Raw genomic sequence first — 25765 nt, forward strand, 5'->3', positions numbered from 1 at the left:
AAACTGCTCCTGGGGATAAGATCACTGTTGTAAAAACTAAGATCAGTGCTTGGAATATTTTGCAGACCCAGTGTTCTGATGCACCAGCTAGTGCCACCCAGACCGGTAATCTGGCTCAACCAGTTCTGGGATCCCACCCAGGAACCGAAAACAGCAAAAAACCCACTTCAATCTCCTATGATTCCATCTCCGACCCAACCAATCAGCATTCCCCACTTCCTGAACCCCTACCCACCAAATTATCCTTAAAAATCCCAATCTCCAAATTTTCAGAGAGGCTGATTTGAGTAACAATAAAACTCTGGTCTCCTGTATAGCCAGCACTATGTGAATTAAACTCTTTGTCTATTGCAATTCCCCTGTCTTGATAAATCAGCTGTTTGGGCAGCAGGCAAGGAGAACCCACTGGGCAGTCCCAACAAACAGGCCCTGACAGCATAACCAGGAGTTTCATCAGGCAAGAATTTGATAAAAAATATGCAACGGGCCAGGCGTGGTGGCTCACGCCTGTAATCCCAACATTTTGAGAGGCTGGGGCAGGCGGATCACCTGAGGTCAGGAGTTCAAGACCAGCCTGACCAGCGTGTATTTACTAAAAATACAAAATTAGCTGGGCGTGGTGGCACGTGTCTGTAATCCCAACTACCTGGGAGGCTGAGGCAGGAGAATCACTTGAATCTGGGAGACGGAGGCTGCAGTGAGCCAAGATCACGCCATTGCACTCCAGCCTGGGCAACAAGAGCGAAACTCTGTCTCAAACAAACAAACAAACAAACAAACAAAAAAAAAATATATATATATATATATATGTGTGTATACACACACACACACACACACACACACACACACACACACGCAATGCATTCCAAATAAAGTATATAGTTCCTTGGAAAGTGAAACTGGCACCTCCTTTATTAAAATCAAAATGCAAACAAAAGCCATGGAAAACATACCCAGTGTACAAATAAACAGTAACAAACAGTGGCAGCTCCCACTGCTGAAGCTCCTCCCACGGGAAGGCCTTGTGCTGGGCAGCGTTCACAAATACGGTTTCTAGACCTCACAACCACCCCATGAGAAAGAGAACACTGTCCTCATTACACAGCTGAGACAATTCGGGCACAGATCTTACACAAGATCCCCCACAGCTCGGAAGCGGGGTTTAAGGATCATGGGTCATTCTCTGGACTGCAAAGTGCTCATGAGCTGCAAGCTTCACAGGGTGCCTGACTCCAGAGGCACCTAAGTGGCAAGGCTCATCCTGTCATCACACTAGAATGCCAGGAGTAAAATGTGATACCACTTCCCATTCCCTACAGGTGAACTCACCTTCCTGTATTTTACAAGAACTGATGGAAGCAATGATGAGTATCAGGAAACTGACTATTCTAGAAGCCAGACCAAATCGTTTTGGTGTATGCAGATTTCAATTAATAACGCATTTCCTTTACCTGAAAATCTTTTAGCTTTTAGAGGCCTCGAAGGGGAAATTCCTGGAATGGAGGTGCGAAGGTCATAGACAAGGTTGATTTGTCACAAATAGGAACACACGTATCCTGCCCACCGGGGGGAAAAATGTCACTGAGTGTTCTTTTCTCCCTAGGTGGGGCAGCAAGGGCAAGAGGGAACGTGAGCAATCAAGATACAATCTGTGAGCCAAATCCTACATCTCACAGAAACCCTGCAAGCTCCAGGCCAACACACTTCAGTAGGGGCCAGAAAACAAATGCCTTAGGCTTTGGGGACTAAATTGTCTCTGTTGCATATTCTTCTTCTATCTTTTTTTTTTTTTCTCTTCCAAGAGAAGGGATCTCTCCCTGTCACCCAGACAGGAGTGCAGTGGCACAATCATGGCTCATTGCAGCCTCAAACTCCTGGGTTCAAGTGATCCTCTCACCTCAGCCTCCCAAGTAGCTGAGACTACAGATGTGTGCCACCATGCCTGGCTGACTGTTATTTTACTTTTTGTAGAGACGGGGTCTATGTTGCCCAGGATGGTCTCTAACTCCAGGGCTCAAATGATCCTCTCACCCCGACCTCCCAAAGTGCTGGGATTATAGGGATGAGCCACCACACCTGCCCTTCTCTCCATTTTTAAAAGCTCATGAGCTGATAAAAGCCGGCCTCCTAGTCCCCTGCAGGAGCCCAGTGCTCTGGGGTCCCGGGAGCTGCCCTGACCTCTCAGAACGATCTTCCAAGCATCACTCAACAGAACCAGAAACACATACCCTGCCAGCCACCACACTCCTCCGCCTGTCCTCCAGCTGTCCGGCTGCCACACTCCTCCGCCTGTCCTCCAGCCGCCCAGCCACACTCCTCCGCCTGTCCTCCAGTCGCCCAGTGAAAGGGAGGGGGAAGCAGGCCCTTGTGTGCCCCCGACACTGGCCGGAGCCCGCCCCTCCCGGCTCATCTCCTTACCTCCCCCAAACCCCTTGAAGCAGCCGCCTCCAAAGATGAGAAGGGGAGGCTTGGCAAGTAAGTCACTCACCCAGGGAGAGAGCCAGGATGGTGGCCTTCAGCTCCTTGAGTCCTCAAGCCAGCGTTCTTCAGCCTACACTGTGACCCCCTCAAGACCTACCTCTGAAGGAGCAGGCTACCTGTGCAGTGCCACCTCTCTAGACAGTGGCCCTCAGAGGGCTCCCATCAGGCAGTCCTCCTGGGTGAGGCTGCTGGGATGGCTAAGGACACCTGTCTTCGTGGGGCCTCTCACAAACACACACACCTCATCTGGAGTGGGGCCTTCCCCCTGGATGGCGTTACCCTATGGCCGCTGTGATGTCTGCTTTGAACAGCAGCGGGCTCATTCACAACAGCACAGTGCCCGGCACACGGGAGACCTCAACCCCATCAGCTGAATAAACAAGTGAGGCGAGTGCAGCTGAGGAGCTGAGGCCCCAGCCGCCAGCTGTGGCACGAGAGGCAGACAGACCTTCCAGACTAAGGACCGGGCCACGCACTGGCCAGGGTGCCGGCCTCACTACCCACAGCAGGACAGGGGCCCCAGCTCCACCCAGGTGCATGCCAACAGCCCAGGAAGCAGCAAGCAGGTGGAGACGTGCACCCGTAAGTACAGAATGTGAGACAGAAGCAAGAGGAGGTGGCGATCTTTATAGTCTTCACCTGGGTTCCTTTCTGCTGCCCCCTCAGTGTAGTGCAGGGGCTGAGGGCTCAGCTCCTGGAGCCAGGCTGCCTGAATCGAATCCCCAGCTCTGATGAGGGATTCGATTTAAGTGACTGACAAAGTCACTTAAACGCCCTGTGCCTCAGCTGCCTCTTCTATAGATGGGGATAACAAGAGTACCCACAACACAGGGCTGTGGGATGAACCTGCTGAGGGGCTCAGGGCTCCGCTGCATGGCCCAACCACTTCCATGATGCCCCAGCTGCTCCGCTCGGGGTGCAGCTGGAGGTCAGAGTGGGCAGGGCCTACCTTGTAGATGTCACTTGTAGCTTCCACCCTGGTTTTCTGTCACAACAGACACCTGCTTTCTGGTGCCCATCAATGTCACTAATCCACAGGGATGTCAACAAATCCTCATCACTTCCAGAACTTCCTTCCCAAGAACCATGCTAAGCTTCAGGTTTTAGTGAAGGAAAGGGTATTCTCCATCGGCTAGGTCAATCACTGCTTTGGTGCTTGCTTTTTTTTTTTTTTTTTTTTTGAGATGGAGTCTCGCTCTGTTGACCAGGCTTGAGTACGGTGGCATGATCTCGATCACTGAAACCTCCGCCTCCCAGGTTCAAGCAATTCTCCTGCCTCAGCTTCCCTGGTAGCTGGGGTTACAGGTGCCCACCACCACACACAGCTAATTTCTGTATTTTTAGTAGAGATGGGGTTTCACCATGTTGGTCAAGCCGGTCTCAAACTCCTGACCTCAGGTGATCCTCCCGCCTTGGCCTCCCAAAGTGCTGGGATTACAGGCATGAGCCACCGCGGCTTGGTGCCTATTTTTAATCCCTTCCTCAAGCAGTAGCTTACTGCACCTTCAACTGATCTTCTGCTCCAAGGGGAGTTTGTGAGCTCATCTTATTCATTCTCTGCCCAGTCTCTTGCCACTTCTTTCTCCTAGTCCTCTATTCTGGTACACACATACACATTCACACACATGCATGCACACACCTGCCTACAAAACCATGCCTTGTGCTAAACCCTACCTCCTGGAGGGAGCTTCCAGAGCAGCCCACCTGCCGCCTGACCTCCTAGGTTCATCACTGCCACTGCCTCCTTCCCACACTCAGGCCCTGGTGTCCCTTCTTTCTTGCTCCTCGGTGAGGCCCAAACAGGTGAAAATTTCATAATTACTGAGAAAACCACAGAAAAGATAATACTTTGTTCTGCCCTCGCCACCTGTCACAATTTCTGGAAGGCATTCGAAGGAGACACAGGAGTCAGGGCTGGTGGGGAGGGGGACACAGAAAGGAAAGGGCGACAGCCAAGACTCACACACAGTCACTCCCCAGACCTGACATCCAGCTGTACACAGCAGAGCACCCGCTGTTTCCATCAAAGGCTCAGCCTGCTGCGCACTTTGTACACAATTTTCCATTTCCATTCGGCTCACTCCAGCTGTGCCGCCCTGAAGCACACACCTCTTCCATGGGTGGGTTCAGCCTGCTACAATACTAACATCCTCCAAGAGAGCAAATACTATAATGCAACTCTTTTTGTGATTCGGCTGCTTTTCTCCATTTTGCCATATTTATATAACAATATTAATGTTGCAATGGAAGTAGGAGTACATCTATTGGCACCATAATCTGTCGTCCCCTTCCTATATTAAAATGATTCTTGATGATGAACCATCCTTGGATGCCTGAAAAAAAGAATCAAATCCTTTATCTTCAGTGCTCTCACAGCATTTGAAAATAATGCTAGATTTTAAAACATCACAAGTCAGCAAAGCAAAGTGCTTAAGAGAGTAGGCTTTGGAGTCAGGCTGGCCCAGTGTTCTTCTCTCGACTTGATCTCTGCAAAGCTCCATTTAAAAACAAAAAAAAAAGGAAACTTACATTACCAGCACAGTAATGACGGCTGCATCATTATTTCTCTCTTATGTTACCTCAGAATTTACTAGGTCCATAATGGCAACTTTTTACTGCTTTGTATTAAAATTACACATAGGAGAAATGGGAACATTACAAACGGCTGGAGGGAGCAAAATGACGTGGCCACTTCAGAAAGCCATTTGGCAATTTCTCAAAAGGTTAAGCATAAAACTACCATATGTGGAAACCAGAGAGTCTCCAAGGGGAAACAAAAAACCTACCCTCTAACCCAGCAACTCCATTCCCAAGAGAACAGGACACACAAGTCCACGCAGACACACACACAGATGTTCACAGCGACATGATTCACAGTAACCGCCAGTGCAAACGGCCTAAATGTCCACCAGCTGGAGAGTAAACAGACAACAAACAGGTGGCCCATCCAAACAACAGAATACGATTCTGCTGCAAAAGGAATGAACAACAGACACAAGCTGCGTTGCGAGCCCCAAGAACGTCATGCTAAGCAAAAGCAGCCAGTCACAAAGGAACACATACTGTGTGATCGACTTACATGAAATGTCCAGAAAAGGCAAATTTATAGAGCTACAAAGTAGATGCAGAATTGTCCAAGGCTAGGGTGGGAACAGAGATCACCTGTGAATGACGATGAGGAATCTTACTGGGGATGAAATGTTCTGCTCTGATTGATGCTAGCTGCACCATTCAGTAAAATTACTAAAACTCACTGCATTTTACACCTGAAATGAATTTTATGGTATGTAAAATATGTATCAATAAAGCTGTTTCAAAGAAAAACTACACATTACATACCTTTAGACTTCTGTCTCTCACAAATGACTGTGAGATCCTTAAGGGCAAAGACTTCCTTCAGTTCATCTTGCCCCAGCATCTAGTAAAATGCCTGGCACAAGTGAGAGCTGAAATGCCCAGTGGATGAAGGACTTTTGAAAACAAAACCAAAAAAAGCTAAGTATTGTTCACAGTTTCATGATTTACCTAAACTTCACATTCCTGTCTACTCCTCCACCTAACTGATCCCCAAAACCAATGACCAGTGCAGGCCACAAAGCTGACAACGTGTCCATGAAGCTTGGTGGCAGGCCAAGTCTCTCTCACACAGGCCTCTATAACAACTGTTTCAGTACTGAGTGGTTAAGCTAAATATTAAAAGCAAAAAAAAAAAAAAAAAAAAGCCATTGCCCTTATACAAAGCTGGAATATAACAAAAGCCCACCAAGAGTTTTGCCTAGGCCTTTCCTGGGCCTTAAAGCATGACAAAATAACCAAAGAATTCTTAACAGGACCCATTTAAGATTAAATAAGTTTTACTAGGAGTCTGAAGAAGCTCCCCAGGCCTCCACAGACAAGGTTATTGGGCATCTGAAGGAACTCCCCAAACCTCTGTGATTTAGCAGGAGACAAAATAAGGGTTATCTACCCCAGCACCTGGACGCATTTAGATTAAGTAAATCTACTGAGGCTCCAGAGGAAGGTCTTCAGGACTCAGACCTTAGTTATAGACTAAGAGAAGTTGCTCACTAATGTCTTTAGCTGCACACTTACATACAAGAATATATAGCTTAGAAGGTATATAAGCTCTGGAAAACTTTGTAATTTTGAGTTGGTCCGGGGATAATTTCCAGGCCTTCTCCCTGTAACCGGCTGCAGGAAATAAAAACGCTCTTCCTCTCCAGTTCATCTGCATCTCATTATTGGGCCCGAGAAATAGCAGCCTGACCCTCAGTTTGGTCTGGGAACAGCTTCAAGCTGATCAAAATCAGGACCCAACACTTTCAGCTGCATCCCGACCAACTATGAAGGGCAGTTTGTTCAGATGTTCAAAGGAAACAGTGTTTTCCTAATGGCAGTATTATGAAAACTTTTGAGGTTGTGAGCAAAGAGACCATGATGTCAGCATCAGAGCCAGAAAGTGGGAGGGTTCAGGAAAATTATAACCTAATTTACAATAAACTTTTAAATTCTTTCAAGAGATATTTCTTATTTTTGACTTAGAAGCTGCCAATGTAATAAATGTACCAGATGCTGTCCCTACAGAATTAAATCATGTAATCCCCATCTCTTCAAAGATAAGGAAACCAGAACACAAAGGTGAGATGAACTGTAGGAAAGATTTGAACCAGTTTGTCTCAACAGCCTGTGCCCTCATCCATGACACTTTACCCTTTTACCATGAGGAAGTGTATTTTATCTGCACATCTAAACAGCACGCACTGGTATTACTGAAGCCCGGGGGTTAGCAGGGTGTATCACATAAATTCCGGGAAATGTGGAATAGAGTGAGCAATACTTTTCCACTCACTACTCCATTACTGCTGCTACAATATTTAGTTGAGAAAATAAAATCGTGCATTTCAAAGCAATCTCTTCCTTGGCACAGATCAAAGGACACAGAACACAAGTGAGTCAAAGCTCGTTCCATCTCCACCCGCTGTTCTCCAAGGGTCCACTAGGACTTTAACCATGGGCCGTTTATAACTCATTTCTTATCCCGACCTGAAGACAAAGGTTATTTACAAGACTGCGTTATTTTCTGGACATGGTAATCAGCTCTCATGATTTAATACTTTCTTGACATCACACTCCACCGACCCTAGCGCTGACTGATATGTCAGCCATTTTAAAGCATTGTAAATGGGACTTAAATAAGCAACGTTTTGGAAGGTGTGCAAACCTAAATAAATATTGCTGAGTAGGGACCATTCCAGCCAACTCTCTCGTCTGTTAAGGTAAAAAGGACTGACAAAAACAATACATTCATCCTATGCACAAACAACAACAACAACAACAAAAAAAACGGCCAATTGGTAGGTTCCAACTTCCTCCCAGCTCTGCCTTTTACTGATGGTAACCAGAACAGGGCCAGCCTCAAACTCCAGGGTCAACTCAAGTGACAACACAGTAACCCCTCATACTCACAGAGCACTCTGTGTTTTTCAGGAAACCAGCATATAAATATAAATGGCTTCCTAGACCCAAGAAACAGCCTACAAGGTAGTTCATGCACTTCAGATAAAGAAACACACATTAAAAATCATACAGCTGAGCCTAATAAATGCTCGGGTTTCCCGGTTCCTAGGTTCCTTTCCATATTAGTCCCTTGTTCCTGGAGTGAAAGTGACGGGAAGCAAAGCAGCCCACAGCCCTAGAAAGGCTGATGGTGCAATCTACTTTCTATGCGTTTGTCTTTTACTCTACTTTCTCCATCTACACGTCCAAGTACCAACGCTTACCCTGTATGTCCGTAAGAGGTCAGTTGAAATCTAGACCCCCTCATTTCCAAACAACACCAGAACACGCGGCCTGACAGGAACGGGTGTATTTGTGGAGACGATGGGACGGAGTACCAAGTCTCAGATCCACCACTTCCTGTAGCAGAAAACAGCAGCCAGCTAGCGTGGACCTGGAAGGCCCAAAGACTGAAGCCTCCGGGGGCTTACAGGTGCCAGCAAAGGCCAAGGGAGGGGGGAGAGGCCGCAGCTCCGCTCCGGCTGGGAGGAGACCAGTCATGCCATCCTCCAAAGTTTACAGCTTCGGGAAAATCCTCTCTATCCAAGTGTCCCCACAGAGTTGTTTTTTTCCCCAAAAAAAGAGAACTAAACACTTGAAGGGCAAACCAAATGAATAATTCAACCAATGTGCTCCCGCGGCTGGACCTGACAGGAAGTCTGCATACATTTACTTAACTGCGGCTCTCTCAGTACAACTCAACTTTGATTCGGCACTCAGATTTGAGAAACCTCGACCCTCCAGAAGCACCAAGCAAAAAAGGTCTCCAAGCACAAACACAGCTGCCCCAAATTCCCGGTCTGCCCAAACTGCACCTCTCAGAGTGGGGCCTCAGTCCTGCTCTCAGAACATTCTGGTGCGTAATAAAGGCACACACTACGAAAGGTCAAACAGCTGGTCTCCATCAACAGCAGCTGAGAAGCAGCAGGTGAGGCCAGGGTGGGCGCGGACCCGAAGACGCGGGTCTGATCGCTGCAGAGAGACAGAGAATACAGAGAGAGGGGAGGCAGCAACAGGAGACCCCGCACTGGGGCCCGGAAGCCCTCTACTCCCAAGTGGCCCCCAAGGATGGTGCTGAACTATGGTAGGACGCAGGACACCCCTCGACTGCAAGAGAGGAGCTGCCAGCCGCCCCGAGGGTGAAGCCTGCAGATGCGGTGCCGGTCATCAATGGCTTCTATTGAACGGATCACCGCCAGAAGCTGCCATCCACGACTCAGTATCCGGCAGACTCGGTCACCCACACGCATAAACCACATGCTATACAAAAGAAACTTGATTTTACTTCTGGGTCTTTTTTGATCCTAGGCTTCATAAGAACAGCACACAATGTAAATTGGCAAGTGTGAGTATCCTGGCTCTAATTTGGAGTCATGTTAGTGGACCTCAGGTTTAAAAATAGCTATGAAGAGGCTTCTAGTAAAAGCCATTAAATGAAAGGTGCATTTACGTTAGGCTGCTGTGGCCCACGCTGAAGTTAATAAAGGAAGGAGAGTGAGAAGAAAAGTCCATCTGCAATAAAACTAGGAACTACTCTCACCTGAACCCACAGATGACAAAGACTACCTGCCGGGCACAATGACCTCTGCCCCAGGCTGAGGCGACAACTGAGAACACAGCAGGACCTTAGGCCAGCACAGGGGCAGGAGGCTCTGAAACTGAGGTGGCAGGTACGTTCCCGTGGCCCAACTGCAGACACAGAAGTCCCCAGCAGGCCTGGCCCACGAGGGCATCTCCACTTCCCTAACCAGGAAGGTTTCCTGGAAGAGAGGCCAGCTTTGCACTGTGGGCCCCAGGCAACTGGGCCCTGACCCTGCATCTGGGAAGCAAGGGCCCTACTGGGAGTGGCGCAGCCCCCCTGGAGTATCTCATCCCGCCGGGTAGAGCAGGCAGAGGCACAGCCAGCCGGCAGAAGGCAGGGCAGGCCGGAGAGGAGAGGACAGAGCCGCCCGCCCCAGGAGGCAATGCTCCCCACCCTCCAAGCCGACCTGAGGCCAGGGTACATGGCAGGTCCCCTCCTAAGCCAAAGAATCCACACCGAGGCATGCGGAGACGCCTCTACAAGGAAAGACAGTGGTGAAAAAGAAAACAAGCAAAAGGAAAATATTTCCGAATTCCCAAGGGAGAGGGGAAACATTTCAGAAAAATACTCTCAACTCTCAAAGAAATTACAGACAATTCGGAGCACCTTTTAAGTCTCCAAAAAGCATTAACACAGCTAGAGATGAAGGTAATAAAAATCATTATCAAAATAAACATCACATTAAAAGCAGCAAAAAGTAGAAAACAATGACAAAAAAGCATATCATCTGAAGAATGGAAGCGCTAAAAAGATGGAAAAGTGATCAGAAAAGATGTTCCATACCTGAAAATGAAAATAAGCAAAAGGCAAAAACCCCACTTCCAGTTAGTTTATCCTAGGGAAATAGACAAGTGAAAAGATTCATATGTCCAAAGTTTTCCAAAAATGTTTTTAAAGCTGCAAACTACCTAGGTAGACATCAATGTAAAATTAATGACAGGAATTGGTGCCCTTTTGGTTGAGGGACAGGCGTACTCCTGCACACATTCAAAGAAAACATGTGGAATGAGGTACACTGAGATGTTAACAGTATGTTCTCTCTGTTTTTCTGCACTGTCCCAGTTGTTAGCAATGAGCCTATTTCACACAGGCATATTTCGGGAAAAGCAGGGCAACATCTCAATTTTTAACGTACACACGTGCAGATCAAAAAGTGCCAGACTAGGCCGGGCGCAGTGGCTCATGCCTGTAATCCCGGCACTTTGGGAGGCCGAGGCGGGTGGATCACGAGGTCAGGAGATCCAGATCACGGTGAAACCCCGTCTCCACTAAAAATACAAAAAATTAGCCAGGCTTGGTGGCGGGCGCCTGTAGTTCCAGCTACTCGGGAGGCTGAGGCAGGAGAATGGCGTGAACCCGGGAGGCAGAGCTTGCAGTGAGCCGAGATTACGCCACTGCACTCCAGCCTGGGTGACAGAGCAAAACTCCATCTCAAAAAAAAAAAAAAAAAAAGTGCCAGACTTGGCTTCAGGAAGAAGATTTTAAGTTTATTCCTGGCTGCTCAGTCAGTGATTAGACAACTCAAATCCATTACCCTAAATCAATATGGATAATAATAAAGAAGCTAAAAGCGGCAAATGTCTTTCTATATTAGATGAAACATCCTGAATTATATTACACCAAACACTGTAATTACTGCATGACTTTTAAACAATTCTTTCCATAGGGAAAACCGACAAAATGAAAATACAAAAAAAGAGAAATCATTCAAGAAAAAAATGTTACCTTAAAACTCTTCTTCTGAAGCTAAAAAAAACATGAAAGTTTAAAGAAATTGGGAGATCACAGGAATTGCTTAAGATCTGAATATAATTCAACACCAGTCTTAAAGTCCTTGTCATTCTGGGTTTCACTGATGAAGGCTAAGAGTACAGGATTAACTTCTGATACATGAAATTGTTCAGTTTAAAAGACAATGCACAGATGACCGCTGCGGCAAAGGCTGGGCAGGGTGCTGGGGTCCACCTGATGCCTAGTGCCACCCCCACTGTCCCCCAACCCCTGTTCACAAGAGACAGCTGTGAAAGGGCCACTAGCACACAGCATGGCACCTTATCCCAAAGGCAGTGCTATCCCAGATGATCTGGTGAGCAGTTCAGGCAGATCTCAAATGGCCTGGTCCATCTGAGAAAGCCCTTACTTTCAAAAGCCTTCTATCTACCAACTCTTACAAAAACACACACGAGTAAATCACTTTAAAAGCCTTTTTTATAATTTTGCTTTAAAAAAAAAATGAAATCCCCAGACCTGTCAAAAGCTGAATCTATGCCAGAAGGAGACCAGATTTTGCCAAGAATATGGTGAACAGGGACTTCCTTCAGTCCCCTGGCCACAAGTGGCCTCACTCACCACCAGATGGGCTGCGTGTCCTTCCACCTGGTCTCGCAGTCAACCAACCCAGAGATAAGCAGGCCAGCTTATCCTCCAAACATCGCCCACAACAGGCCTGAGCTTCAACCCTACAAACGCAGGTGGGGCAGCCCCTATCACGGAAAGTCAAATTCCCATTTTCAGTTTCCAATGAGATGTCAAGAACCAAGCAACAGGCTCAGGAAGAGCCAAGAAAATTGACTTTCTCAACTAAAAAAAGGCCAGAACACATGAACTCCTTGTGTTTGTCATGTGGACTCCAGTTACTCACACCTGAATCTCTGAGGCCCTGAACATCTGTGTTCCCCCTTCCTTCCATATCTAATTGTTGTTTTTTTTTGTTTGTTTGTTTGTTTTTGAGATGGAGTTTCACTCTTGTTGCCCAGGATGGAGTGCAATGGCACCATCTCGGCTCACCGCAACCTCCGCTTCCCAGGTTCAAGCAATTCTCCTGCCTCAGCCTCCCGAGTAGCTGGGATTACAGGCATGTGCCACCACACTCAGCTAATTTTTTTGTATTTTTAGTAGAGACAGGGTTTCACCATGTTAGCCAGGATGGTCTCGATCTCCTGACCTCGTGATCCACCCGCCTCGGCCTCCCAAAGTGCTGGGATTACAGGCGTGAGCCACCGCGCCCAGCTATCTAATTGTTTTAAGGGGTAACTTTTATGTTAAAATTTATATTAAAATTGTGGCCAGGCCCAGTGGCTCACACCTGTCAACCTAAGCACTTTGGGAGGCCAAGGTGGGAGAATCGTTTGAGGCCAGGAGTTAGAGACCAGTCTGGGAAACATAATGAGACCCCATCTCCACCAAAAATTTAAACAATGAGCCGGGCACGGTGGCACACGCCTATAGTCCCAGCTACTCGGGAGGCTGTGGCGTGAGGACTGCTTGAGCCCACCAGTTCGAGGCTATAGTTAGCCATTACCACATCGCTGCACTCCAGCCTAAGCGACAGAATGAGACCCTATTTCTTTAAAACAAAATTAATGACCAACTATGATAAAAAGTCAATAGGTTGTTTGCAGTCAGCTGGTTTTCCAGTATTTGTACTGAGACACCTCTTGTCCAGGATTCCTGTAATGACACGCCATGGGCTGGGGAGGCAAGATTAAGAGTAAAATCAATAGCTGTGAAATGGTTTTCTCTGCAAGGCTCCCAGTTGTATTCAGCCATCAATTTAGTAAACTTCGCCTTATTACCAACTCTTTGTGACCAAAGGAGCAAACTGAGAAAATACATGATGTGCAAGCACCTTTCCTATACTTCAATATCACAGCCTCATTCACCTTCTCATCTCCAGTAAACTGATCCCACACTGTAGTTCTTATCCACACAGAGCAAACTACTGCTAAACCCTCATGGTAGATGAGGCTATTTATGCAGCTGGGCCACCAAGCCCTCCCCTCTCTCCCTTAAGAACTCAGAGAGACTCTAACTTCCCGCTCCAGCAGCAAATCTACTGGAGGAGCTGACACCACATGAAGAGAAGAACGTGGAGTCTACGGCCAGGTGCATGTGGCTTCAAATCCACCTCCACCTCTTACAAGTTATTTGCCTCTCTAGGCCTTAGTTTACTCACCTGTAAAAAATACAGAAAAATGCATACATATTATAGTTCCTGGGGCTAAAAATAAGATGTTTTCTTATTCTCCTGGGGCTAAAATAAGACAATTTTTTATTTTCCTGGGGCAAAAACAAAGTTTTTTTTAAAACTGGACATAGTAAGTGCTCCCCTGTTCCCATTATGGTGTGACCTGCAGCCTCAGCTGTGTTGTCCTTTCTAAGCCACAACTGCCAATGCTACATAAAGAAGCAGCTGAATCACAAGTGACAGGCACACCCAGTAAATTCCAACTAAAGGCTGAGATAGGAAAATAAATCATCAAGTGACAAGAAACTGTCTCATCTCAAGGGTTTACCCTCAAATCACACAGCTGATGATGCGTACACTTCACTATTATTCTCCCTCGTGTCACATCTTTCTACATGAAAATAGAACAAATGGCTGGGCACGGTGGCTCACACCTGTAATCCCAGCACTGTGGGAGGCTGAGGTGGGTGGATTACCTGAGGTCAGGAGTTCGAGACCACCCTGGCCAACATGGCGAAACTTTGTCTCTACTAAAATTACAAAAATTAGCCAGGCATGGTGGCAGGCACCTGTAATCCCAGCTACTCGGGAGGCTGAGGCAGGAGAATCACTTGAACTTGAGAGGTGGAGGTTGCAGTGACCCAAGATCATACCACTGCACTCCAGCCCAGGCGACAGAGTGAGACTCTGTCTCAAAAAAAAAAAAAAAAAAAAAAAAATAGAGTAAATGACTAGATCTACCATATGACCTTCAATACACATGTGGCTCTCCCAAGGTATGCCCTTTAGTAATAACAAATAGAGAAGACCCCGATCAGTGCCCCGGGGTAGGACAATGGTCATGAGGCCTCCTGCAATTAGGCTGTTGCTAATACAAGCCCCAATGGAGACACTATCCTGAGACCATGTAGATAACACATGCTGTGAAACACAATTTCAGTGAAGAGAATTTTTTTCTTCTGACCATCTGAAACATATGCAGCTAACCACCAACAATGCTTGTGCAACTTCCTCCATTAGCCTAAATACTTCTGTCTTAGTCAGCTCAGACTGTGCAACTTTTATAAACAACATCGATTCATTGCTTACAGTTCTGGAGGTTGGGAAGTCCAAGGTCAAGGCACTGGCAGATTCGGTGTGTACTGAGTGCCATTCCTCATGGATGGCACCTCCTAGCTCTGTCCTCACATAGCAGAAGGGACAAAGAAGCTCCCTCGGACCTCTTTTGTGAGGGCACTGATATGGTTGGAGGTCCCCTTCAAACTGCATGATGAAATGCAATCCCCAGTGTTGGAGGTGGGGCCTGCTGGGAGGTGTTTGGATCATGGGGGTGGATCCCTCGCGGCTTGGTGCTGTCCTCATAATAGTGAGTTCCAGCAAGATCTGGTTGTTTAAAAGTGTGTGGCACCTTCCATCTCTCTCCACTGCTCCCACTCTCGCCATGTGACTGCCTGTTCCCACTTCACCTTCGGCCATGAGTCAAAGCTCCCTGAGGCCTCCCCAGCAGCCAAAGAGAAGCCTGTACCATGCTTCCTGTACAGCCTGCAGAACCATAAGCCAACTAAACCTCTTTCCTTTATAAATTGCTTTATAGCAACAGAAGAACAGCCTGAGACAGGCACTAATTCCATTCATGAAGGCAGAACCCTCATCAGCTAATCACCTAATCACCTCCTAAAGGCCCCACCTCGAAACACAATTGCACTAAGATTCACAACATGACTGTGGAGAGCCATAAGCATTCAGACCACAGTAGCTACCTATTTCCTTGCCTCCTGACTATGCCTGGTGTAACCTCACAGTTAGGTGGTCTCACATCTCTTCAATGATCTTGACTTTTCCACAAGAATCTCACTTCCACAGGTGGGTCGTCTGCAGCATACTACTAGCTCATTAATACACTTTATTTATAGTGGCTAGGGTTGTAACACTGCAGGCTTCCCTTTGATGACTCAATTCAATACTCCACAAAGATTTTCATCCTAGTTCATGAAACGTCATTAACACTGTTAGTCATTTACAACTGAGGGAATTCTCTAGAAGCAGTAAAAGCTTTCTTGTTTCTTCTTTTTCATTTTACATAGGAACAGGCCAAGCACAGTGGCTCATGCCCATAATCCCAGCACTTTGGGAGGTCAAGGGGGGAAGATCGCGTGAGCCCAGGAGTTTGAGACCAGCCTGAGCAACATAGGGGGAACCTGTCCCTACAAAAAATAGTTGGGCATGGTGGTGCACACCTGTAGTCCCTGCTACTTCGAAGGTGAGGCAGGAGGATCGCCTGCGCCTGGGAGGTAGAGGCTACAGTGAGCCATGATCACACCACTGCACTCCAGCCTGGGTGAGGAAGCGAGACCCTCTCTCCAAAAACAACAACAACAAAAAGGAATGGCCTCTTTCTTGTAGTTTTGTCTTCTCTCTCTAAAGACAAACCATCAGTATTTATCACTCAAGTCCAGTTGTCCTTTCTAATACTTATACTGGTGGTCCCATGAAAGCTCAGGGACACAGCATCCTTTTCCCAGCAGGGTAGAAGCCTAAAGCTCTGGGCTCAAAGGTAAAAAAATACTCATTTGCATGTAATTTTGCATAAACTCTCTTGTTTAGTTCCAGATGCCCAATTCTAAGTATGCAAAATAAAATGAAATCATTTATACAGCTTACTGCTTCCAGTGTTTTCAATTCAATGCTTTAACAATAAAAGCAAAAAGAAAACCTTCTGAATCAATTTCTGAATTAAGTTCCTTAATCAACTTCTGAATTAAGTTGAAGATTAAGTTCAACTTAAAAAAAAAAATACATGCATATATATTGTGACCAGCCTATAAAAATCAACACTTGGCCGGGCGTGGTGGCTCACGCCTGTAATCCCAGCACTTTGGGAGGCCGAGGTGGGTGGATCACAAGGTCAGGAGATCGAGACCATCCTGGCTAACATGGTGAAACCCCGTCTTTACTAAAAATACAAAAAATTAGCCGGGCATGGTGGCGGGCGCCTGTAGTCCCAGCTACTCGGGAGGCTGAGGCAGGAGAATGGCGTGAACCCGGGAGGCGGAGCTTGCAGTGAGCCGAGATCTTGCCACTGCACTCTAGCCTGGGCGACAGAGTGAGACTCTGTCTCAAAAAAAAAAAAAAATCAAGACTTATCTACGTTTCCCATTTCTCCTTGTTTTCTGTCCCTCAAGCAAAATCAGAAATAAGCTACGAGGCCACCAAGCCTTCTTCAAGGCTATTCTGAGTTATCTAATCCATTAAGGAGACTTGGAACCCCCGTCATACTTTCTCTTTTTTTTTTTTTCTTAGCACCTTTATCCTACTCCAAACTAAATCTTTCTATCACGGCTTCTTTCCCATTATTTCATGCAGGAGGGAGGAAGGAAAAACCTAACCCTTCTCATCTTTGTCAGGCAACCCAAACTGCAGTCCACTCTGTGAAGAGACCCACCTGCCTGGAATGCCCTCTACCCACCAGCACCTTCAGGAACTGCTCAAATGCTGACTCCTCCAGGAAGGGTTCCTTTCTTTCACCCAGTTTGTACCTCTCTCTGGTTACTATTAGCCTGGACTCCAATGCTTGCTGGAATGTCTGCCCGAAGCTGGCCTGTGAGTTCATTAAGGACAGCAGGTATGGCGTAGGCATCTTCCCCAGGCTCCACCATGGTGCATTAAACATAGCAGACATTCAATAAATCTTTGTTGAGAAATGAGCATCATGTCTCATCAGGAGTATGAAAAGCACTTAAGTGCTGCAGAAATTGGATTGCTTGAGGGGTCTTGGTTAGAGGTTCGTGACATTGCTGATGGACCTGCTGCGATAAGGAAGGAAAAAAAAGTCAAATGGCCTTCGCAAGCCTTCTCTTCAGCTCTAAATGTACGATAGTGAACAATCCTTTGCAGTTAAGGGAACCACAGAATCCTTCCTCTCCACATTAGTTACCCCTGGGGAATAAAATCATGCTTCTGTATTGTCTAATTTTTAAACAATTAGTCATGTATTGATTCTATATTTTGAATAAATTAAACTTTATAATAGCTTGATTTTTATTAAAAGGAATCTTTACATCAGTAGGGAGAGGCACTATGGGGTATTTTCCCCTCCCTACAACGACCACCCACAGGAACAAGGATGATGGGAAGGGACGCAGACCCTGGACGCTGGGTACCAAATTGATCAGAAACATGGGAGAAGGTGTGGTCAGCAAGGTGGGGACAGGCCAGCTGGGGACACAAGTGGCTACGGGACAGCAGAGAGGCAAACCATCTGCAGCTAAGCCGGCGGAGGTCTTCTTCCACTCAACCCAGCTGGGAAAAGACTAAGGGAAATTTGAGGCAGAGAAAACAAAGCAGGAGGTCCTCCTTAGAGAAGGACATGCACTCAGCTTTTAAACCTGGCCTCGAAGTGAATTGGGGAGCAGAGCACCAAAAAGAGCTATGAGAACTGCCCATTAGAATCTGACCTTGTGGAGGTCCAGGGTGGCTACCGAGGGCGCCTTGAGAACCCCAAGGGCAGGCAGCTTTCTGAGTGGCAGACCAGCCACGGGGACCCAGGATCTGCCACTCCAGAGAAACTGCCTTCGGTCTAGTCAGAAACCGAAGACGCCAACAAGGGGAAGATGGCATCTGCAGAAAACCACTTGAGTAGGGCCAAAAGGACACGTTTTCAGGATACCCTCACTGATTTCCAGGCAGTGGAACTATCCTGTAGGACGCTCCAGTGGTGGATGCATGTCACTATACGTTTGTCAAAACCCACTGAACATACACCACCAAGAGTGAGCTCCACCGTCAGCGATGGATTCAGGTGATGACAACATGTCAACGCAGGCTCATCAGCTGTGACAAACGTACCACTCTGGCACAGGATGCTGACACCAGGGGAGACCCCGTGGGTGTGGGAGCCAAGGGGATGGGAAATCTCTGCACCTTACACTCAATTTTGTTGTGCTCCAAAACTGCTCTAAAAAAAAATTTATTTAAAAAATAATGACAGCCACCACGGTAGGCTAAGCTCCAGAGTCCCTGTGGGGTGCGTGAGAGCCGGACGGGCACTCAGCAACTCTGGGCCTTGCTGAGGAAAGGGTGAAGGAGGTCCCCAGAAGCCGAGGGGCCAATGTCATCACATGCGTTAGTGTGCAAACCTGCCGGTGGGGAGCACAAGCAGCAGTGCCCAGAGGCTTCGGGAGCTCCTCCGAGTTTTCTCAGAGGTGCTGGCAGAGGTGGAAGGCCACATCCGCCAAAGAGAAAGGAAAGGTGAAGACGCAGACAAGGCGGGCCAGGCCTGTCAGGAAGAGAAATGAAACCTACATCCCTCCACCAAGGAACGAAAAAGTAGCTCAAGGATTCCAGGCACCCAAGAGGCCTCCTTTGGCCTTTTTCCAGTTCTGTTCTGAGCATCACCCAAAATTCAAAGAAAACATCCCGGCCTATCCGTGGGTGATGCTGCACAGAGACTGGGAGGGATGGGAGAGACAACACTGCTGCAGATGCCCAGTAGCCTAGGAAAAGGAGGCGCAGCATGAGAAGGATCCTGCTGCAGGCTGGGCTGAAGGAATGCCCGATGAAGTACAAAGAGAGTTGCTCAGGCTGAAAAAAAGCAAGAAAAAGGAGGAACAGGAGGCTTGGCGCAGTGGCTCACACCTGTAATCCCAGCACTTTAGGAGGCCAAAGTGGGGGGATCGTCTGAGGTCAGGAATTCGAGACCAACCTGGCCAACATGGTAAAACCTCACCTCTACTAAAAATACAAAAATTAGCCAGGTGTGGTGGCAGGTGCCTGTTATCTCAGCTACTCCAGAGGCTGAGGCAGGAGAACTGCTTGAACCCAGGAGGTGGAGGCTGCAGTGAGCCGAGATCACGCCACTGCACTCCAGCCTGGGTGATGGGCGATGGAGCAAGACTCAGTCTCAAAAAAAAAAAAAAAGGAAGGAAAGAAGGGGGAGGAAGCTGATGATGATGATGAATTGGTCCTGGTGCAGTTTTTTTTCTTGTCAATAAAGCATTTAAGCCCCCCATATGCAACTTACTCCCTTTAAAGAAAAAAACTGAAATACAAGGCTGTGAAAAAATAACAACAAACGTCCTCATTATTCCAGGAAACCCCCCAAAGAGTCCATACTTCCCAAAGACATTTAATACCTACTGCTCTTTACAGAACAGAACTTCCTTTAAAACAGGACATTTCACTTTAATTACTAAAATTACCTCTGACTAAAACAGCAACAACACAGGCGCTCCAATGTAACCTGCCAAGTTGTACTCATGGTCATTCCAGACCTCCAGGTTATCTAAAACACTGCACCTCTCACAGATTAAATCAACTAAAAGCAAATCACCTAGATAAAACTCCAAAATCCCTTTCCCCATTAAACCTGGCATTTTAGGCCAGCTGCCAGTGGCTCATCCTTGTTATCTGAGCACTCTGGGAGCCAAGGTGGGAAGATTGCTTGAGGCCAAAAGGTGAAGACCAGCCTGAGCAAGGTAAGACTCCACCTCTACAAAAATAAAAAACAAACTAAAAACCTGGCATTTTTAGAATGCTTAAGTCATTCAAATATTAAAGAAAATTGTTAGGCCAGGCGCGGTGGCTCACACCTATAATCCCAGCACTTTGGGAGGCCAAGGCAGGCAGATCACCTGAGGTCAGGAGTTCGAGACTAGCTTGACCAACATGGTGAAACCCAGTCTGTACTAAAAATGCAAAAATTAGCCAGGCATGGTGGCACACACCTGTAATCTCAGCTACTCAGGAGGCTGAGGCACGAGAATCACTTGAACCAGGGAGATGGAGGTTGCAGTGAGCTGAGATAGTGCTACTGCACTCCAGCCTGGGAGGCAGAGCGAGACTCCAACTCAAAAAAAAAAAAAAAAAAAAGAAAGAAAAAATAGTTTAAGAACATGATCACCCAAAATATCCTAACACTGCTTTTATCTTTTCTTATTACACTTGATTGGTCTAGTGTGTATCTTATAACCTAGCCACCATCATAGCTGACTATAATCATGACCTGCTCTTTACAGAGTGAACGCTGAGCTCATGCCATCCCTTTTCCCCTCATGTATAACTGGCACAATATGCCCTGCCTTCCAGGCAGCACACACAACCCTATTGTTGGATAACCATGTTTAAACTCACTCTCGGCCAGGCACAGTGGCTCACGCCTGTAATCCCAGCTCTTTGGGAGGCCGAGGCAGGCAGATCACGAGGTCAGGAGACTGAGACCATCCTGGCTAATACGGTGAAACCCCATCTCTACTAAAAACAAAAAATTAGCCAGGCATGGTGGCGGGCGCCTGTAGTCCCAGCTACTCGGGAGGCTGAGGCAGCAGAACGGCATGAACCCGGGAGGCGGAGCTTGCAGTGAGCCGAGATCGCACCACTGCACTCCAGCCTGGGCGACAGAGTGAGACTCCGTCTCAATAAAAAAAATATATAAATAAATAAAAACCTCACTCTCAACAGAAAACTCCTGATTGGTTTTAACCAATTAAAAACGTCCTACACATATCAGCCTCCCTGTCTTTTTTTTTTTTTTTTTGAGATGGAGTCTTGCTCAGTCACCCAGACTGGAGTGCAGTGGCGCAATCTCCGCTCACTGCAAGCTCCGCCTCCTGGGTTCACGCCATTCTCCTGCCTCAGCCTCCCGAGTAGCTGGGACTACAGGTGCCCGCCACCACACCCGGTTAATTTTTTTTGTATTTTTAGTAAAGATGGGGTTTCACCATGTTAGCCAGGATGGTCTCAATCTCCTGACCTTGTGATCCACCCGCCTCGGCCTCTCAAAGTGCTGGGATTACAGGCGTGAGCCACCGTGCGGGCTACCAGCCTCCCTGTCTTATGTAAATGTCTTCCTTTCTCTAGATAAGGTCTTTTATCAGCATATACCTGACGAAATGCCCGGATAAGAAATTCGGTCCCATACTCAGGACCCACTTCAGGAAGAACTCTATCTTTCCTGACTTCTCCTCCTTCCCCGGGGAATTGTCAGTCGCATGGCCTGGATTCCCCAACAGGGCTGGCAGGGGGCATGGATTGGCCAGAGCCCCACTCCTCTTGCCACAGGGATCAGTCCAGGGTTAAGGACTATGCTAGGACGCTCAGCATTGCCTAAGAACTTGTGCTAGAGCTACTGAAAAAGAGGTGCTCTTTGTCCCCCAGGATCACATCATTAAGGCTGGGTGCTGCGGGCAGCCGCCTTTATCATCGGCTGGGGCACACCTGCCTAAGAAGTAAGCCCTCACGTTCCACTGTACTGGAAGTCAAGCCCACTGCAGCCCTTTCAGTGCTGTGAGCAGATGAATCTCCCCTTCTTCTTTTTGCTTAAACTAGTTGAGGTTGTTGTTCTTTTGCCTACAACTGAAAAACAACAACAACAAAAAAATCACTGTAACACAATGAGTATGTGCCCCAATGGTGAGTAACAACACCAGCCAGGGTCATGCCAGCCACCCTGGGCCACATCAAACCAGGGATGGTAAAAGCAGCACCACTGGAAGCCCAGAATCACCCACCTGGGTTAAAATGAAAGTCTGCTGGGTTTAACTCACCTAGAGGCTTCTACCCGATTTTTGCAGGTGCAACCAAGACTGAGGCTGTTTAAACAGCCTTAAATTCTGCTATGCAACTCACTGGAAAACTACTTTAGGACCCACTTCGGAAGTGACCACCACTAAACTGGACAAGAGATGCAGGGTCAAAATGATGTATATATTAGGTATGTGGAGCTCAGACACATGATTTGTCTAATAAATTTGTTAAAAGGAACTCCTGTCGTCTAAGAAATTACAAGCTACTCTTGACTTACGACCAGCTGACACACTGTTCCCACTGGTGATCAGCCACCCACAGCACCTCGCACCCCATCCATCCACCTGAGCCAATGCTGCTGCCGTGTGGACACTCTGGGGCTCACATTCAGAGCAGAACCTGCTTTGCCTAGCAGGTAAAGCTAGGTGGAGTAGCCAAGTGTGATGAAGTCTGGGATCTGAAACACAGGCTACTCCCTCTTCAATCACCCTCTGTATAGTGATAACAGCCGTCCCATGTTGCTAGCACAAATGACCTAATTAATCAGTCACCAGACTCAGTCTCTAGCCTGAACTCTTCCACCAGCTCCAGACCCATATTTCTAACTGCCTGTTCATTTCCTCTGCCCACAATCCACTCATCTGAAACAGAATTCCTTATCTACATAGGATCTTCATCTTCCATGCTAGTCATCAGCCCCAAGGACTTGGGTGCGTGGGTGCGTTCATTCGCCCCAGGGCACCTCCCTCCCTCCATCACCATCATCACTGAAGCCTGCCCCGCTCACCCCCACAGCTCCCTCCCTCAAATCCCTCCTCCTCCCCACCCACTGGTGGCACAGTTCGATCTGGCATCAGCTTTTACCTGGGAAACCGCAATGAGACCTAGCTGGGGGACCAGCCTCCTTCCTTTCCAGTCTAACCACCAAACTGTCAACGCCCAAAATGGGTCTCATTCTGCCAATTCAAATTTCCCAGAAATGTCACATCACCTAATAGGCTAAAGCCCAAACCACTCAGCATGGTCCCATGGGTGATAATGACAAGGTAGTCTGGGAGCACTTATTTTAGGACCTGATATGATCTGGTCCTGGACTACCTTCTTCAACATATGTGTCTTGTTCTCTTTCCTTTCCCCTTAAGTCCGGCAGAATTGGATTCCTTGTATTTTTCCAAACACTCTGTGCCATTTAAAGACACCATGCTTTTGAACATTCTAATCTGTCTGGATGCCCTCTGCCTTTAAAAGAAATTCTTCTAGAACAGAGCTCAGCCATTGTTTCCTTTATTAATCTTCAGCCGGCTAGGTCTAGATACTTAATTACCCCCTCCTCTGCGCTACTTCTGAGCCTTATACTTCCATAAATGCATTTTTTCCCATTGAAATGTATGCGACACATGTGCCTCTGCTACTGGGCCATAAGCTCCTTGAAGACGGAGCTGTTAGTCATCTAATCCCAATGCCAGCACTGCACCAGACGTATGACAGATCCCTCTTCAACTCTAAACACCATCTCCTATGCCTTACACATTGGCTGATATACCACCTATTAGATATCTATTCAGATCAACACACATCTTTCTTCCCATAATTAAGAAGGCCTACCGGTTTTATGAACTATTAGGAATACTTTCCCAGCATCCAGCTGAGCAATTTTGACAGGAGGAATCCTGTTTTCATGGGAACTACTGAACCCACTAGAGGGGGTGCAGCAAAGAGGAATGCAGTAAACACCAGAGCGGTACAACACCAGGAGGGCACTACAATGGAGAAGGGGGTACTGCAGGGCACAGCCAGGCCTGGCACAGCCCCAAAGACCAACCTAAACTAACTCAGAAACCTGCACCCAGAAACATAAAGAAAACTCCTCCTCCTCCTCCAACTCTCTTATGCCAACTAGCTTCCTGCCTTCAGAACCAGGAACTTAACTCTTAAGATTATAGTTTACATAGACTTTGGAGTAAAAGGCTTTTCTAGCCTAGCCTCACAACTTAACTGCTATTTCCAAACTCCTTTCTATACGAAAATATGCAGGCGACTAACCAACAAAGTTACAAGTGAAATCGGGAATGTATTTGGGAACAGTCCACATATTTTAAACTTTATTTCTTACAATTGAAAAACTGTGCTTCTTTTTGCATCAAACAATGGTGACCACAGAAGTAAATTACAATAAAAATATTAATATATCCCTAGGCTGGGCACGGTGGCTCACGCCTGTAATCCCAGCACTTTAGGAGGCTGAGGCAGGCGGATCACCTGAGGTTGGGGGTTCGAGACCAGCCTGACCAACGTGGAGAAACCCTGTCTCTACTAAAAAAAAAAAAAAAAAAAAAAAAAAAAAATACAAAATTAGCCAGGCATGGAGGCACATGCCTATAATCCCAGCTATTCAGGAGGCTGAGGGCAGAACAATCTCTTGAACTCAGGAGGTGGAGGTTGCACCATTGCACTCCAGCCTGGGCAACAAGAGCGAACTCCGTCTCAAAAAAAAAGAAAAAAGTGTATTAATATATCCCTGATATGGTTTGGCTGTGTCCCCACCCAAACCTCATCCTGAATTGTAGCTCCCATAATCCCTATGCATTGTGGGAGGGACCCAGTGGGAGGTAACCGAATCACAGGAGGGTTTTTCCCATCCTCTTCGCATGACACTAAGTCTCACAAGATCTGATGGTTTTATAAAGGGCAGTTCCCCTGCACACGCTCTCTTGCCTGCCGACATGTGAGACGTGACTTTGCTCTTCTTTTGCCTTCCGCCATGACTGTGAGGCCTCCCCAACCATGTGGAACTATGAGTCCATTAAATCTTTTTCTTTATAAATACCCAGTCTCGGGTATTTCTTCATAGCAGTATGAAAATGGACTCATACAATCCCTTCCTAGTTTTTGTCATGCGATTAAATGGCCACAAAGTCTACACTTACGTACCATTTTTCGTAAAATAGCAAAGATCTTTACAACAAAGCCTGACAACACTCCCTCTTTTTCTTAAAGTGTACTTCTATCCAAATAGTTTCCATTTCTCACAAAAGTTAAATCACTAAAGACAACCAATCATACCAAAACAAAAATTTGAAAATCTGAACAAAGAGAAAAAGCAAATGAGTTCCAGCAAAATTCAGGAGCACTAACTTCTCATATCTCATATCACTGAAAGGAAAAAAAAAAAAGCCAGGCACTGTGGCATGCACCTGTAGTCCCTGCTTTTGCAGCCACTCGAGGCTGAGGCAGGAGAGATCACTTGACCCAGGAGTTCAAGTCCAGACTGGGCAACATAGTGAACTCCCATCTCTTAAAAAAACAGTAATAATAGAAGTGTAGTAGTAAAGGTCCAGGTCCCTTATCCAAACTTTCAAAATCCAAAAGTCTCCGAAAACCAGCAGTTTTTCCAACTCCTCTGGAGGTGAGATCTAAACTGATCTGAAGCCGGTTGACAGCAAACCCTGAAATGATGTGCAGCTACTCACAGTCTCAGTGCCAACAGGCAGACACCTCCCCTCGACGCTCCAGTCCTCGTGGGTCACTGGGCACAGCCAAGCATCCACTCAACGCTGCTCAACGCTATGGCTCAATATTGCCCCTGACCCACTTATGCACCTTGTACGGGATGAAAACTTTATACAAGGAATGTATTATTTCAATGACTACTGCCCTGC

The 25765-nt window shown here is 47.0% G+C and overlaps 1 protein-coding gene across 2 annotated transcripts in view, besides 1 other annotated feature; it reads right to left on the reverse strand.

The window, feature by feature from the left end:
• STK24 (serine/threonine kinase 24) overlaps positions 1-25765 on the reverse strand; it is a 131923-nt gene that overhangs the window by 89397 nt on the left and 16761 nt on the right. The window lies entirely within an intron of this gene.
• Positions 1808-2671: an enhancer, noted in NCBI's record as "H3K27ac-H3K4me1 hESC enhancer chr13:99188643-99189506 (GRCh37/hg19 assembly coordinates)". NCBI's record gives its function as "activates a minimal SCP1, AML or CMV promoter by ChIP-STARR-seq in primed H9 embryonic stem cells {active_cell/tissue: H9 hESC(primed)}" and the evidence as "EXISTENCE:reporter gene assay evidence [ECO:0000049][PMID:30033119]".

The sequence above is a fragment of the Homo sapiens genome, chromosome 13 (genome assembly GCF_000001405.40).
Source record: "Homo sapiens chromosome 13, GRCh38.p14 Primary Assembly".
Taxonomy (NCBI): domain Eukaryota; kingdom Metazoa; phylum Chordata; class Mammalia; order Primates; family Hominidae; genus Homo; species Homo sapiens.